The 17055-nt window shown below is 44.9% G+C and overlaps 1 long non-coding RNA gene across 1 annotated transcript, besides 1 other annotated feature; it reads right to left on the bottom strand.

The window, feature by feature from the left end:
• Positions 1-591: 591 nt before the first annotated feature.
• LOC105371689 (uncharacterized) lies at positions 592-12736 on the bottom strand. Its single transcript, XR_922443.4, has 3 exons — positions 12680-12736; positions 3820-3940; positions 592-1654 (listed from the first exon to the last, which is right to left on the bottom strand). It is a non-coding gene; the product is annotated as an uncharacterized LOC105371689 (long non-coding RNA).
• Positions 12422-12985: an enhancer, noted in NCBI's record as "NANOG-H3K27ac-H3K4me1 hESC enhancer chr1:203965665-203966228 (GRCh37/hg19 assembly coordinates)". NCBI's record gives its function as "activates a minimal SCP1, AML or CMV promoter by ChIP-STARR-seq in naive H9 embryonic stem cells {active_cell/tissue: H9 hESC(naive)}" and the evidence as "EXISTENCE:reporter gene assay evidence [ECO:0000049][PMID:30033119]".

Genomic DNA, 17055 nt, shown 5'->3' with positions numbered 1-17055 from the left:
GTATTTTTAGTAGAGATGGGGTTTCACCATGTTGGTCAGGCTGGTCATGAGCTCCTGACTTCATGATCTGCCCACCTCGGCCTCCCAAAGTGTTGGGATTACAGGCGTGAGCCACCGGCCCAGCCTATTTCATTTATTTATCTTGTTTTTGTTTATCTCCCCAACTAGGATGTAAATTCCTGGAGGGCAGGAATTTGTGTCTGTTCTTTTTTTTGAGACAGAGTCCTGCTCTTTTGCCAGGCTGGCGCAGTCTCAGCTCACTGCAACCTCCACCTCCCGGGTTCAAGTGATTCTCCTGCCTCAGCCTCCCAAGTAGCTGGGACTACAGGCGTGCGCCACCACACCCAGCTAATTTTTGTATTTTCAGTAGAGACGGGGTTTCACCATGTTGGCCAGGATGGTCTCAATCTCTTGACCTTGTGATCCACCCGCCTCGGCCTCCCAAAGTGCTGGGATTACAGGCGTGAGCCACTGCACCTGGCCTTATGTCGGTTTTTTTCACTGCCATATCTCCATCACTCAGAACAGAGTCTAGCATATAGGAGGCACTCAACAAATATTGGTCAAATGAATACATAAATGAATGAATACTTACAGTTCTCCAAGATTTTTATTCCATAACCCCTGCAGTCAGTTTTGCTATAGCACAACATCTATGCTCCTAAAATCACCCTGTTATGCAAAAACCATGCCAAGAACAACTATAGGGCTGTCTGGTCTCACGCCTGTAATCCCAACACTGTGGGAGGCCGAGGTGGGTGGACCACAAGGTCAGGAGTTGGAGACCATCCTGGCCAACATGGTGAAACCCCGTCTCTACTAAAAATACAAAAATTAGCCAGGGGTGGTGGCATGCTCCTGTAATCCCAGCTACTTAGGAGGCTGAGGCAGGAGAATTGCTTGAACCCCAGAGGCAGAGGTTGCAGTGAGCCGAGATTGTGCCACTGCACTCCAGCCTGGCAACAGAGCAAGACTCCATCTCACAAAACAAAACAACAACAACAAAAACAAAACTATAGGGCTAATGGGAAAAATAGTTAGAGGTTACAACATTGAGAAGTTTTGTCAATATAACAACAAAAAAGATAGGAATCTAATAAAGTTGTAGCACAGTTCACACATTAAATGGTTAAGAAATAGATACATGCTGCAATAAATATGGCAGAGTATCCTGAAACAGACATTAATTTTGTATATGGAGCTGGTCGTTGGAAGGGGTGCAGCTTATGAGTTCCTATGAAGTGGTGGAAAGAGGGTTTCTAACACACCCTGTAAACTCAGGTGGTAGGAATTTGAGAGGTGTCCTTGTGTACATTTTGTGTACTTCTGCCCTGTTTGGTTCAGCTCAGTAGAGTTTTCTCCATTCATCTGGTGTTTCTCAGGGAAAAACCATGCACCAGCAAATGCAAAATCTGTATTACACTTAGATTGCTCCCTAATATATGAATTGGGTTGGAACAAATTCATGTTTTCAAAACAAGACTTAGAGCAGAACTGACTGTCTTTGTTTATACTATTTTCCAGGGCTATAATAGTCTTCTTTATCCTTCTTGCCTGGCCAATTCCACCTTTACTTCAAGGCCCCTTTTCCATTGTCTCCTTTATGGCGTACATAGACTTTATCTTCTCTGAACATTCATATGCTTCCTTCTCACTTAAAAAAAAATAGATTTTATTTTTTTAGAGCAGTTTTACATTCACAGCAAAATTCAGAAGAAGGTATAGACAGTTCCCAGAAGCCCCCTGCCTCCACACATCACAGCCTCCCCCATTATTAACATCCCATACCAGAATGGTACATTTGCTACAATTTTGAGCCTGTATCAACACATTATTATCGCCCAAAGACTGTAGTTAACATTAGAGTTCACTCTTGGTATTGTAGATTCTATGGGTTTGGACAAACGTATAGTTATATGTATCCACCATTATGGTGTCATGCAGAATTGTTTCACCACCTCAAAGATCCTCTGTGTTCTGCCTATTCACCCCCTCCATAGTTTTGCCTTTTCCAGAATGTCATATTGTTGGAAACATAGAGTATGTAGCCTTTTATGATTGGCTTTTTTTTTTTTAACTTAGCAATATGCATTCAACTTTCCTTCATGTTTTCTTTTTATTTAGTAATATGCATTTAAGTTTTCCTTTTCTTTTTTTTTTTCTTTTTTGAGACAGAGTCTCGCTCTGTTGCCCAGGCTGGAGTACAGTGGTGCGATCTTGGCTCACTGCAAGCTCCGCCTCCCGGGTTCATGCCATTCTCCTGCCTCAGCCTCCCAAGTAAGCTGGGACCACAGGCGCCCACCACCATGCCTGGCTAATTTTTTGTATTTTTAGTAGAGACGGGGTTTCACCATGTTAGCCAGGATGGTCTCGATCTCCTGACCTCGTGATCCGCCTGCCTTGGCCTCCCAAAGTGCTGGTGTTACAGGCATGAGCCACCGCGCCCAGCCTTAAGTTTTCCTTTTCATGGCTTGATAGTTCATATCCTTTTAGTGCTAAATAATATTCCATTGTTTGGCTGTACCACAGTTTATTGAACCATTTACCTACTGAAGGAGATCTTGGTTGCTTTCAAGTTTTGACAATTATGAAAAAAGCTGCTATAAATATCCATGTGCAGGTTTCTGTATGGTCATCGATTTTCAACTCCTTTGTATTAATTCAAAGGAGTGCAGTTTCTGGATCATCTGGGAAGAATGTGCTTAGTTTTGTAAGAAATTGCCAAACTGTCTTCCAAAGAGGCCATACAATTTCCCATTCTCACCAGCAGTAAATGAGGATTGCTCCACATCCTCATCAGCATTTGGTGATGTAACTGGATTTTGACCATTTTAATAGGTATGTAATGGAATTCTCACTTCTATTTTATTGCCATCTTGAGTTACTAAGTTGACATCACATAATATTAGTTCACATTACACCTATGTCTATCTCTCCAACTAGCTCTAAACTACTTCCAATTATTGTATCCTTTGCTCATCTTCCAGTCCTCATCTTAGGACTGTGTCTTGCATACAATGGCTGTTGAAAATTATTTTTTAAATTGGTTTTGTTCCTGAGGCAGGACTAGATAAGGCCTCTTTCATCACATAGCTCAATGCCTAATGAAAGCCGCAGGATTGCTCGTGGAGAAAAGTCAGACCAGGAATGGGTACAGGAAAGAAAAACTTGAGAGTAAAGATATATATGGCAAAGATAATAGTAAGCAATGAGTCCCAAGAATAGGGCAGTGTTCAATGATCATGTCTTGGCCAGTTTAATCAGGGAATTAATTCTAGAATGCCTGAGTTTTAAACAGAATTTTAAAGTAAAGGACAGTTTTGACTCAAAATTTAAAACTTCTTACCTAGAAGAATAGCCCTTGGTATTGAATACCTAGTCCACCATCATACCCTAAATTAGTACCTCCTAAAAGTGAAGGTAGGCTAACATTACATTTCTCCTGCAAAGGTATCAGGCAGAGCCACTACATAGGCAATGAGCCATCTAGACAGTATGGTCTGGGACTGGTGGAAGGGAGTGGGGATGACTTTTGTGCCTCACTGATGGAGCATCAATTTGAGAAGTGGAAATGAACTGGGCCCCATCACTGCTCATTCCAGGCAGTATCATTCAGATGCCAGTCTCTGTGAACCCCCTGTATACCAACTGGAAATGAACCTTTACAGGGGAGGCTGACAACACACCTGATTCCAGCTGTGCGTTGGGTGAGGGGAGGATATGTGGTCAGGGGATGAGGTATTAGTCTTTTTTCACACTGCTACAGAGAATTGCCCGAGAGTGGCTAATTCATAAAGAAAGGAGATTAAATTGACTCACTGTTCTGCAGGCTGTACAGGAAGCATGGCAGCATCTTTTTCTGGGGAGGCCTGAGGGAGCTTTTATTCAAGGCAGAAGGCGAGGCTGCAGCAGGCATCTTCACATGGCTGGAAGCAGGCTCCTTCACAGGAGGAAGAGAGAGAAATCCAGGTCTCATGAGAACTCTGTCCCAAGAACAGGACCAAAAAGGGAGGGTGCTAACCCATTCAGGAAGGATCCACCCCCATGATCCAATCATCTCCCACCAGGCCCCACCTTCAACACTGGGGATTACAACTGAACATGAGATTTGGGTGGGGACACAGATCCAAACGATATCAAAAGGGTAGGAGGGTGCAACGATGCTATAACTAGCTCTAGAGGTCTAATTAGAGTCCGTGACAAAACAAAAACATACTGTATTATTAATTCTAAAATCAGAGCTCAAGCCTATGGTTACTTTACATGCGCTTTGCACATTCACCAGCACAAACTGGAATCCCTTCTCTACCTTCCACAACTCAAAAGGCTTTTTCTCTCTTGGTCACCCTCTCCTCATCTCCTACCATGATCTGAATGTTTGTGTTCCCTCAAACTTCATTACTTCTTTTTTTTTTTTTCTTTTTTTGGAGATGGCGTCTTGTTATGTTGCCCAGGCTGGAGTGCAGTGTCCATTCACAGGCAGGATCATTGTGCACTGTAGCCTCAAACAATCCTCCCACCTCAGCCTCTCGAGTGGCTGGGATTATAGGTGTGTTCCACTGTACCCAGCCACTGTTGAAATCTTAGCCCCCAAGTTTATCCTATTAGGAGGTGGGGCCTTTGGGAGGTGATTAGGTCATGAGGGTGGAGCCCTCATGAATGGAATTAGTGCCTTTATAAAAGAAGCCTCAAAAAAGGTCCGTCGCCCCACTCTGCTATGTGAGGTTATAGCAAAAAAACAGCTGTCTATGAACCAGGAAGCGGTGCCTCACCAGACACTGCATCTGCCAGAAACTTGATCTTGGACTTCCCAGCCTTCAGAATTGTGAGAAATAAATTTTTGTTGTTTATAAGCTGCCTAGTCCATGATATTTTGGTATAGCAGCCTGAATGGACTAAGCCTTAATGAGCCCAGAGGCCTTGGGATTTCCCTCACATTCTCTGAGTAAGCACCCACCTCCCCATCCTACACCACCTCTGCAGTAATTTAATTTCCCCTGTGTTGAACTTCCACAGGAACTCTGAGCCATTGTGCGGCACTGGCTGCCTCGATTTCACAGGATTTTTTTTTTTTTTTTTGATACACAGTTTTGCTCTTGTTGCCCAGGCTGGAGTGCAGTGGCGCAATCTCGGCTCACCGCAACCTCCGCCTCCTGGGTTCAAGCGATTCTCCTGCCTCAGCCTCCTGAGTAGTTGGGATTACAGGCATGCGCCACCATGCCCAGCTAATTTTGTATTTTTTGTAGAGATGAGGTTTCTCCATGTTGGTCAGGCTGGTCTCGAACTCCCGACCTCAGGTGATCCGCCCGCCTCAGCCTCCCAAAGTGCTGAGATTACAAGCATGAGCCACCGCGACTGGCCCACAGGATTGTTTTCACTCTGGAAGATGGTGCCCTCCTCTGTGCTCGCACTGTGCATGCATCAGCCAAGGGACCTTCCCATGCATCAGAGGCAGCTGGTCTGGGATGCTCAGGCCATGTCAGAAAACACATATGAACATGCTGAAGGGGTGATAGAGCACACAAGGCTCTTGTTATCTCAGGCCTGTCCAAAGGCTGTCTTATGTGGATAAGGAGAGCTAAGAGCACAGGGGCTGCTGTCGCTGCTGCTGATTACTGAATTTTTTTTAAAGCCTCTATCCTTGTCCTCTGTTGTTCAGAATGAATTATAAATATGCACAATGGTGGTTTAATCCAAACCTTAATATCTTTTTCCTTCTCTGCCCTCCCTTGATGTGGGGAGTGGGGGTGGGAGGAGTCAGGAGGAAACTTCTGAAAAGCTGATTTTCCAGTTTGGCTAGAAAATAGATTACCAGCCCCAACCACTCTCCTCTCCTCCCAAAACATGACTGTCCATAGATCAGAAATTACCACTGCTATTTATTTTATTGGAGGGAATTGACTGGTTTGATAGAGAAAGACAGTCAAATAAACACTCTGCAATGTTTCATAAATCTGTTTGGATTGGTTGAGTATATAGTAGTCATGATGGTCTTTACAGGCCCTGATACAATTTAACACATTAGGTTTCAAACAACCACGTGAATGATGCTTGTTATAAGTGAGCACCAATAGAGGTGTTTTGTTTTCTGCTAATCTATGGGAGAAAAAAATTTTAATTTCTAATTGTAAAAATTTGATTCTATTCATTGGTAAGTTCCTGCCCCCCACCTCCGAAAGTGGGGAAAATACCACCATTATCGGAACAATAGCAGCAAAATCTAAGAAAAGAGTTTTGATTTGGGATAATTGTAATGGTCTTGGGTACCTATCCCTGCCTGGGAATTGCTTTGTGTGGGGCACACAGCAGCTCCACATGGCTCACTCTGCTGTTGTCTTGGTTTGTGCCAAGGACATCAAAGGAAAAGAGGAAATATTACCACCTCTACTTTGGAAGAATAATGAGATTCTGTGTGTACTCTACTGTGAGGCCCTTCAGAGCCCTCAGTCCACCCTGTGCAAGCCTGCTTCAGGCTTAGTAGCCTCTCCTTCTTTCCATCATTATGGAGTATATCAGTCGGCTAGGGCTGCCATAACAAAATACCACAGACTGGGTGGCTTCATCAACAGATATTTAATTGCTCGAAGTTCTGAAGGCTGGGAGTCCCAGACCAAGTTCTTGCAGGATCGGTTTCTGGTGAGGGCTCTTTCAGGCTTACAGATGGCCACCTTCTCACTATGTCCTCACATGGCAGGGAGAGAAAGAGTGAGCTCTCTGGTGCCTCTTCTTACAAGGATCCTAATCCTATCAGGGCTCCACCCTTATGACCTCATTTAATCTTGATTATTTCCTTACTCCAAATGCAGTCACACTGAAGGTTAGGATTCCAACATTTGCAATTCAGTCTATAGCATTCTGCCCCTGACCCCCACAAAAAAATTCATGTTCTTATTGCATGTAGAATATATTTATTCCATCCCAACAGCCTCAAAAAATCTTTTTAAAAATTTTTAAATTTATTTTTAAATTTTATTATACTTACATCTTCTTGGACACCAATTTTTAATTTTGATTAAAAAAAATATTTTTTGGCTGGGCACAGTGGCTCATACCTGTAATCTCAGCACTTTGGGAGGCCGAGGCAGGCAGATCATGAGGTCAAGAGATTGAGACCATCTGGCCAACATGGTAAAACCCTGTTTCTACTAAAAATACAAAAATGAGCTTGGTGTGGTGGTGCGTGCCTGTAGTCCCAGCTGCTGGGGAGGCTGAGGCAGGAGAATCGCTTGAACCTGGGAGGTGGAGGTTGCAATGAGCCGAGATCACACCATTGCACTCCAGCCTGGCAACAGAGCAAGACTCCGTCTCAAAAAACAAAAACAAATAAAAAAACAACAAAAAATTTTTTTTCGAGATGGAGTCTTGCCCTCTCACCCAGGCTGGGGTGCAGTGGCAAGATCTTGGCTCACTGCAACCTTCGCCTCCCAGGTTCAAGTGATTCTCATGTCTCAGCCTCCCAAGTAGCTGGTATTACAGACGCCCACCACCACACCTGACTAACTTTTGTATTTTTAGTAGAGACAGGGTTTTACCATGTTGGCCAGGCTGGTCTCAAACTCCTGACCTCAAGTGATCCACCCGCCTTGGCCTCCCAGAGTGTTGGGATTACAGGCGTGAGCCACTGCACCTGGCTTGTATACCAATTAAAAATTTTTTTAAAAAATTTATTATATTTACATCTTCTTTTTTAAACTTTTGTTATATTTACATCTTCCCTAAACTCTTAACACATTCCAGCATCAATTCTAAAGTCCATAGTCTCATCTAAATATCATCTAAATCAGATATGGGTGAGACTTGCAGTACATTCATCCTCAGGCAAAATTCTTCTCCAGCTGTGAGCCTGTGAAACCAGACAAGTTACATACTTCCAAATACAATGGTGGACAGCCATAGGATAGACATTCCCATTCCAAAAGGGAGAAACTGGAGGGAAGAAAGGGATGATGATCCCAAGCAAGTCCAAAATCTAGCAAGTCAAATTCTACTAAATTTTAAGCCTGAAGAATAATGCTCTTTGGCTCAATGCTCCGCCTTTCAGACCCACTGGGGAGTCTGTCCCACATTTAGGACCTACTAGGGAAGCAGTCTCGCCTCCACAGCTCTGCACCCACAGGGATTTACACCCTCAGGGCTCCACAGTGTGGCCCCACCCACAAGGCTTCAGTCAGTGGCTGTCTGGCCACTTGAAACTGAGGCAATCACCCCCCCACTTTGAAACCAAGGAGGCAGCCCTGATGGTATCTGAATCACCTTTGAGGTCATTCTTCACTTTACTTGCAGAATAAGGATCTAAGAAGTCCAATAGCCTTCTTTCATTTCATCTTGTTTTCTCTTTCCACTTTATTTGGTTCAAACTGTCAGTGTCTTTGCTGGTATAATTCCATCTCTATTCCTGGCTTTTGCTAAGATGGTTGATGAAGTTTATGAGTCTTACTCATGACCTCTTTATCAAATAGTTTTAGTTTCAGTTTTCTTTTCAGAATAAGCTTTTTCTTTTTTCTTTCTTGTTTTTTTTTTTTTCAGTATGGATAGACTTTCCCAAATCCTCTATTTCTGGTTCCTTTATGCTTAACAATTCCTTCTTCAACTAATTTCTCTCCTTTCCCATTTTGCTGTAAGCAGTCAGGAGGAACAAAGTTGCTCCTTCAATACTCTGCTTAGAAATCTCCTTGGCTAAATATCCAGTTATATTGCTCACAAGTTCTACTTTTCACAAAACCCTCTTTAACCAAGTTCTTCACCACTCTATTTATTTATTTGTTTTTGATACAGAGTCTTTCTCTGTCACTCATGCTGGAGTGCAGTGGTATCATCTTGGCTCACTGCAACCTCTGCCTTCTGGGTTCAAGCAATTCTCATGCCTCAGCCTTCCAAGTAGCTGGGACTACAGGTGTGTGCTACCTCACTCCACTAATTTTTGTATTTTTAGTAGAGATGGACAAGGTTTCACCATGTTGGCCAGTTTGGTCCCAAATTCCTGGCCTCAAGTGATCTGCCCACCTCAGCCTCCCAAAGTGCTGGGATTACAGGCGTGAGCCACCACACCCAGTCTTCTTCACCATTTTATAACAGGTTTCCTTTGCTCCAGTTTCCAGTAACATGATCCTCATTTCTGTCTGACATTTCACCAGAATTACCCTTAACATCTATGTTTCTAGTGTGCACTTCAAAAATCTTGCAGCTTCTACCCATTACCCAGTTCCAAAGCCACTTCTACATGTTTAGATATTTGTTACAGCACTACCTCATGTCTCACTACCAAAAAAATGTATCAGCCAGAGTTCTCCAGGGAAACAGTACAAACAGTGTGTGTGTGTGTGTGTGTGTGTGTGTGTGTGTCTGTGATGTGAGAGAGAAACAGGGCAAGAAAGAGGTATTAGGGGAATTGGTTCATGTGATTATCGAGGCTAAGAATTTGCAAAATCTGCAGTCAGCAATCTAGAGACCTAAGACAGCAATGGTGTAGTTCTAGTCCAAGTCTGAAGGCCTGAGAACCAGACAGCAAGTGGTGTAAATTCAAGTCCAAAAGTCAAGATTGAGACCCACAAAGAGCTTATGTTTCCATTAGAGTCCAAAGGCAGAAGACCAATATCCTAGCTCAAGCAGTCAGACAGACAAAATTCCCTTTTACTGAGCATTTTTGTTCTATTCAGGCTTTTGACTGAATAAGGCCTACCCATATTAGGGAAGAGAATCTGCTTCACTCAGTCTTCTGATTCATATGTTTATCTCATCCAGAAATGCTTCCACAGGCATGCCCAGAATAATGTTTGACCAAATGTCTGGGCACCTCATGTCCCAGTCAAGTTGACACATAAAATGAACTATCATAGTAATCATTCAAGAGAGGTAATAATAGATTATTTAGACCTTTTCCTCAACAGTCTTTGATTGAGTATATACTAAGTGCAAAGTCCCATTCCCAAGGCTGTTTCATGCAAATTTAATTCTGTTCCATATGATTTTATTCCAACCATGGAACTGACTGTTACCACAGATAGTAAGCTCATGTCCACCGAGGTCTTTCTGTAGTTGCCAGCTGGATGGCCTAGTCTGGCTCATGGTTTCTAAGATTCTAGGTGATGGATGGTGATAATGTTATAAAACAGGTAGTAGTTTGGGGAAGGCAGGGAGGCAGTAGCTGTACTAGACCAGTTGTCTGTGTCTTCAGGAGCATATGGATTACCTGGGGAGCTTGTTAAAATGCAGATGCTGATTCAGGAAGTCTGAGATTCTGCATTTCTATCAAGTTCTCAGGTGATGCTGATGCTGCTGAGCCAGAGACAACATTTTGAGTAGTAAGGTATTAGATGAGCTTTAAGGTCCCTTCTGATTCTCTAAATTCAGTCCAATTCAGCAAGTGTTCATTAAGAACTCATTGTGTACCATGATGCCATGAAGTAGCCAATAGAGGTATGAAAGTGTTTTCTGCCTTCAAAAAGCGAACTTATATTTAGAAAGCTGGACAAATATCCAGCCTGGCCAACATGGTGAAACCCCGTCTCTACTAAAAATACAAAAATTAGCTGGGCATGGTGGCAGGTGCCTGTAATCCCAGCTACTCGGGAGGCTGAGGTGGGATAATCACTTGAAATTGGGAGGCAGAGGTTGCAGCGAGTTGAGATCATGCCATTGCACTCCAGCCTGGGCAACAAGAATGAGACTCCATCTCGAAAAAAAAAAAACAAAAAAACAAACAAACAAAAAAAACACTGGACAAATAGCCACAAGTCCCACAGATTACACAATGACTCAACCTTCTGGGTCAACCTGAGTGTCTAGACTCAGGACAGCATTGTGCTTGAAAATTTTTTTTTTTGAGACGGAGTCTCACTCTGTCGCCAGGCTGGAGTGCAGTGGTGTGATCTTGGCTCACTGCAACTTCTGCCTCCCAGGTTAAAGTGATTCTCCTTCCTCAGCCTCCTGAGTAGCTGGGACTACAGGTGCATGCCACCATGCCCAGCTAATTTTTGTATTTTTATTTATTTATTTATTTATTTTGAGACGGAGTCTGGCTCTGTCATCCAGGCTGGAGTGCAATGGCATGATCTCGGCTTACTGCAACTTCCGCCTCCCAGGTTCAAGCGATTCTCCTGCCTCAGCCTCCCCAGTAGTTGGGACTACAGGTGCATGCCACCACGCCCAGCTAATTTTTGTGTTTTTAGTAGAGAAGGGGTTTCATCATGTTGGCCAGGATGGTTTGGATCTCTTGACCTCGTGATCTGGCCGCCTCAGCCACCCAAAGTGCTGGGATTACAGGCATGAACCACCATGCCCGGCCTAATTTTTGTTATTTTTAGTAGAGATGAGGTTTCACCATGTTGGCCAGGATGGTCTTGATCTCTTGACCTCGTGATCCGCCTGCCTCAGCCTCCCAAAGTGCTGGGATTACAGGTGTGAGCCACAGCACCTGGCCAAAATTTTTATATAAATGCCTTCCCAAGAAATTTGGTCTCTTTTTTTTTGAGGAAGTCAGAGAACTGAAATTTAGTAGTTTAGCCACCTAGCAAAATAACCTGAATAGAATAGTAATATGGAGAAGAAGACCAGCTAGACGAAAAACTGTAAAGTTTATCTAAGCCCACGGGGGCAGCCATAGTGGGCTAAGATACTGAGAAAACTAAGAGTACACCAGCCGTATGCACAAGGGGGCCCTGGGAAAGGACACCTCTGACTCAATGTTCTAGGGTCAGAGTTCCTCTAGGGAGGAACACAGGGGAGATACTTGGTGGGGAATAGCAGCACTGTGGATGAAGATCATGGACACCCCTGTGGGAGTGGCCATCAGGCCTAAGGAAGGGCCAGTGCATACCAGTCTTTTCCCAAGCTAGGACTAGTTTCCCCGATCTCTTAGGTTCATCTGGCAGTGGCGGAGGTGGGGAGGGAAGTTGGGAGCTAGTCAAGGGGCTGGTAAAACTACAAACAAGAATGGGAGAAAGCAGTGGCTATGGGGGTAGAGTGGGGAACACTTGTGGGCACAAAGGAGGAAGGGGTGGAATGACAGGGTGGACCCCTTATGGCCTTGGCTATTATGTATGTGAATAGCCAAGCAACAGGCAAAACCTTTGCTAAGCAGGGCTTTTTATAGTCACTCACTCAGGCTGGTCTTGTGATTTGGGGCAAGGGCAGAATCCACTGCCCTGATGATCCTCCTCGCACACCTCAGTTCTCAGCCCCACTGGCCCAGCCCTAATCTCCACTCTACTAGCTTCCCTCCATGGAGGCCCTGATAAGATTGAGGGCAACTGGAAGCCCAGATAGAGACCCTCCCCACTTGGTCTCTTCCCAACACACACACACACACACACACACACACACACACACACACACACACACCCCTAACCAGGCCAGAGACTTGAGCTCAGACTGCCTGGAGCTGGTGGGGGCTGGAAAAAGGGGAGGGGGGAGGGAAGGAAGAGAAGAATCAAACAGAAACCTTCTCATCTTTCTATCAGCAGCCATGCAAGGAATATTGTTCAGCATGGCACAAAAGCGGCACTGAAAATAGCTGCAGCCAGAGTGGGGCTGCCAACCACTGCCTGAGATAACGTCTACTTGGAGACACTGGTGTCTTTGTGGGGCTGTCAGTGTCCCTATTGTTCCCGAGCCTATTGCCTGGGGAATATTGTTCCCAGCTTTTGTCTCCCCCGGCTCACTTTTGTTTGCCTTTACTTACCATTTCATTCCCGCTCCCTTTGTGCTCTCCCATTCCCTCCTTTGTCTCTCCGTCTCTAAGCCTGCCTGTGGCTGTGGATTGGTGCCCAGGGAGACAATAGGCCCTACCCCCTCCCAACCTACAGCCCCACCCCGAACCACACACACCTCATAGTTCCATCCTGCTTCTCCTTCTCCCAAGTGGCACCCAAGATGTCCCAAAGGCAAGAGAGCCTTGAGGGAGGGTGGGCTTCAAGCAACCCACTCCCCTCCTGGTGACAAGGCAGAAAGGCCATTGGAATATTTGGTTCCCAGAGGAGGTCTGAAATGTCTGATGTGGGTCCCTGACTCTTTCAAGATCTCTCTATTTTTTTTTTTTTTTAACAAATTAGGTTTTTGGTCCAGTCAAAGGAATAAGGACAAGCTCATGCTCCACATCCCCCAAACCCTCTTTCAAGTGCCCAGCATGCACTTCTCTGACCAGGGCACTCCGTTTTCTTCCCCCTCCCTGTCAGCCTCAAGGATCAAAGCAACCTCTGTTTATTTGCACATTCAAATCCAGACTGCCTCCAGTAACTTGACCCAGTCAGGCGCCAGGATGGTGCAAGAAAAGCCCCGCCTGCACCCTCCCCATCCAGCAGCGCTTTTGGCTGAACTGGGTAGAAAGGGGACAGGAGTCTCCTAGGGTCAGAGTAGGGAGTGGAAGAGGAGTAGGCAGTGAGGAAAATTAGACTGCCAATCCCTTCAGAATGGCCTCTGGGTCCTCTCACCTCAATGATGGGGGGAAACTGAGGCATCAAAAGAGATTTAGAGGCTGGCACGGTGGCTCACGCCTGTAATCCCAGCACTTTGGGAGACCAAGACAGGCGGATCACTTGAGGTCCAGAGTTCGAGACCAGCCTGGCCAACATGATGAAACCCCATCTCTACTAAAAATACAAAAATTAGCCCAGCATGGTGGTGGGTGCTTGTAATCTCAGCTACTTAGGAGGCTGAGGTGGGAGAATCGCTTGAACCCGGGAGACGGAGGTTGCAGCAGTGAGCTGAGATGGCGCCACTGCACTCCAGCCTGGGCGACAGAGCAAGACTATGTCTCAGAAAAAAAAAGAAAAGAAAGAGAGAGAGAGAGATTTAGAAAACACAGCAGTCAAACCCGGAGCTTGCTTGCCAACCCAGAGCATAGGCAGGTGTCCAATCCCAGTCCTGTAGAGAGATTCTTCTCAGTTCTAGCTGGGAGAAGAAAGGCACCAGGTAGTGCTTAAGGGGCTGGGTTGACTTGTAGAAAATGCTTTTTCTTATACTTCCCCTGTCTTTCTGCCTCACTACAGATGGGAACAGCGATTGGAGAGTCGAGGAAGCTTTTACTTTGGTGGGAGGCTGGCTGGGAGCAGGGATGTAGTCTGAAGCCAGAGAGGAGGCTCTACTCTCTCATTGTTCTAATTCCAAGGACAATGGGAATATTCTCCAGAGAGTCATTGTTTGAAAAGCTGGAAATTGGGTAGGGGATTTCCGGAAAGTTTGAATGGAAGCCAGGCTTGGCTGTGAGGAGACCAGAGGAGCAAGAAGGGAAAAAGGAAGGGAAGGAGGCCGTCTCTGGCTTCAGAGAAAAGTACTACTGGGCCCTGAGGACAAATCTGCCCTCCTGATTTCATGGCTATCAATCCCAGGCTACCCATTTTTTGTTCTGATTCTTGCTCCACCCGTCTCCTCTATCTGCCTTCTCTAGCCAAGATCAGTTTAGATTCTTAATACTCTTCAAGTAGAAAGAGAAGCAAAAAACTTTGTCCCTGCCTTGGAAGCAAGAATTGAGTCTGATCCACCTTTGCAACTCTAGCCCATAGCGCAGAGCCCAGAGCATATGCAGAGCTTCGTAAATGTGCAAAGAATGGATTCATGAAGACATTGTGGACTCTTGATCTCAGAAAGCCACTTTGACTATCCCTGAACTTCTGGTAGGGTGGGTATGGAACTGAAGGTTTGAGGTGAGAAAAATCTAAAGGTGAGGGATAAGATTCTGGGATAGATGAGGCAAGTGGTGCGGAACGTGGGGTGCAATTAACAGACAGCAATGACACAGCAATGCAGAACAATATTTGGCCTCTAGAACAAAATCCCCTGCCTCAATCCTCTGTACTCTTCCCACTCACCGTATGTAGTCTGAGCTGTCTTTCAAAGATATAGAGGTGATCACTTTTTGGCTCTGTGTAAAACCACTGGTGGCTTCCCGCTGCCTTCAGTTACTTGTAAGGCACTAAAATGGAACTCTTCAAGGACAGGGCAATCTTGATTGTTCCTGTATTCACCACAGGTAACTGGTGCCTGGCCAGCGCTATAGGCACCCAGTAAAGGTGGAATTGAACTAACTGAGAAGAGTGTGAGTCAATGTTGCCAATTCTACAGTGGTTCCTGGATGGCATTTCAAGTTAGCTACCTTCAATGATTTTGATGGTGAGTGTTTTATCCATTTTACAGTTATTGATATGATCTTTGAAAACAGCCAAGGGCCATGAAAATAAAAACATTTACATTTCTTTTTAAAATTGGTACAGCACTTGGGAGGCCAAAGGTGGGAGGATCACTTGAGGCCAGAAGTTCAAGACCAGCCAGGGCAACATAGCAAGACCTTACCTCTACAAAACACTTAAAAATTAGCCAGGCATGGTGGCATGCACCTGTAATCCCAGCTACACAGGAAGCTGAGGTGGAAGGACTGCTTGAGCCCAGGGGTTCCAAGTTGCAGTGAGCCATTATTAATTTTTTTTTTTTTTGAGACAGAGTCTCGCACTGTCACCCTGGCTGGAGTGCAGTGGCACAATCTCGGCTCACTGCAACCTCCGCCTCCCAGGTTCAAGCGATTCTCCTGCCTCAGCCTCTTGAGTAGCTAGGATTAAAGGTGCCCGCCACCACGCCTGGCTAATTTTTTTGTATTTTTAGTAGACATGGGATTTCACTATGTTAGCCAGGCTGTTCTCGAACTCCTGACCTTGTGATCCGCCCGCCTCGGCCTCCCAAAGTGCTGAGATTACAGGCGTGAGCCACCACGCCCAGCCTTGCAGTGAGCCATGATCATGCCACTGCACTCTAGCCTAGGGAACAGAATAAGACTCCAACTCAAAAAAAAAAAAATTGAGTCATATCTCATCTAACTAGAATATGGCTGAGAACAAGGACGTAAGCTAATATAGGCTGCAGACTAATCAAAAGCAATGGCATAAAGAAATATATTCCATTTATGTGAGATAACAAAGTATCTCCCTTACAGCTAGAGATGGCCGAAGAAATATATGTGGAAGAGGTAGAGCATCTGGAAACTTTAAAAGGGGCTAACTCTGGTGGTAGGCATATCTTTTCACCCTTCTCACTTTCCTCTTTGTCCTGTCTGGAATGTAGTTATGATCAGCCAGGCATGGCGGCACGTGTAAGAGGATCACTGCTTGAGCCCAGGAGTTTGAGTCCAGCCTGGGCACGTAGCAAGACCTCATCTCTTAAAAAATAAAAAGAACCAGCAGGGCACATTGGCTCATGCCTGTAATCTCAGCACTTTGGGAGCCCAAGGCAGGTGGATCACAAGGTCAGGAGTTCGAGACCAGCCTGATCAACATGGTGAAACCCAGTCTCTACTAAAAATACAAAACTTAGCCAGGCTTGGTGGCATGCACCTGTAATCCCAGCTACTCAGGAGGCTGAGGCAGAAGAATTGCTTGAACCTGGGAGGCAGAGGTTGCAGTGAGCCGAGATCGCACCACTGCACTCCAGCCTGGGTGACAGAGCGAGACTTCATCCCAAAAAAATAAAAATAAAAATAAATACATAAATAAATAGAACCTGGTCATGATCACTGGATCTCCAGCAGCCATCTTGTGACCACAAAGGGCCACTGAGTTTGAAACTTTTGTGTTAAGGAAGGCCAAACAGAAAAACAGAAAGTGCTTGAGCCCAGATGACTGAGGAGCCCACAATACAAGCTTCAAATTGCATACCTCTGAAGTTTTTTATACAGGGCGAGAAAAGCTTTTATTAGATTAAGTCCTTTAATTTAGGCCTTTGTTATTAGAAGTCAAGTACAATGCCTCACTAATGAAGTACATGAGTTCTATCAATAAAGAAATACATTTCTATATCATCTCTTTGTTTGCTGAACTAGTTGGAAAAAGAAAAGGAATCATAAGAGATATTCCATTGTTTGCTAGAGCACGTGAGTAATCCTGTGGGTTTTGAAAGTGAAGTCACAAGCTGAGTTTGGAGGCAGGAGCTATAGACATAGAGACAGTACATCTGTTCTGTGCAGTGAAGCAGGAGGAATCATTCTGAGTAGCGTAGAGCCCAAGCAACAGGCAAAATATTGCTATAGATGTGTATATGGACATTGGAATCAAGTGGCAGCTTACAGCCAGAAAG

This window comes from Homo sapiens, chromosome 1 (assembly GCF_000001405.40).
Source record: "Homo sapiens chromosome 1, GRCh38.p14 Primary Assembly".
Lineage (NCBI taxonomy): Eukaryota > Metazoa > Chordata > Mammalia > Primates > Hominidae > Homo > Homo sapiens.
The sequence above is the reverse complement of the archived record's forward strand: the minus strand, read 5'-3'. Positions and strand labels throughout refer to the sequence as shown.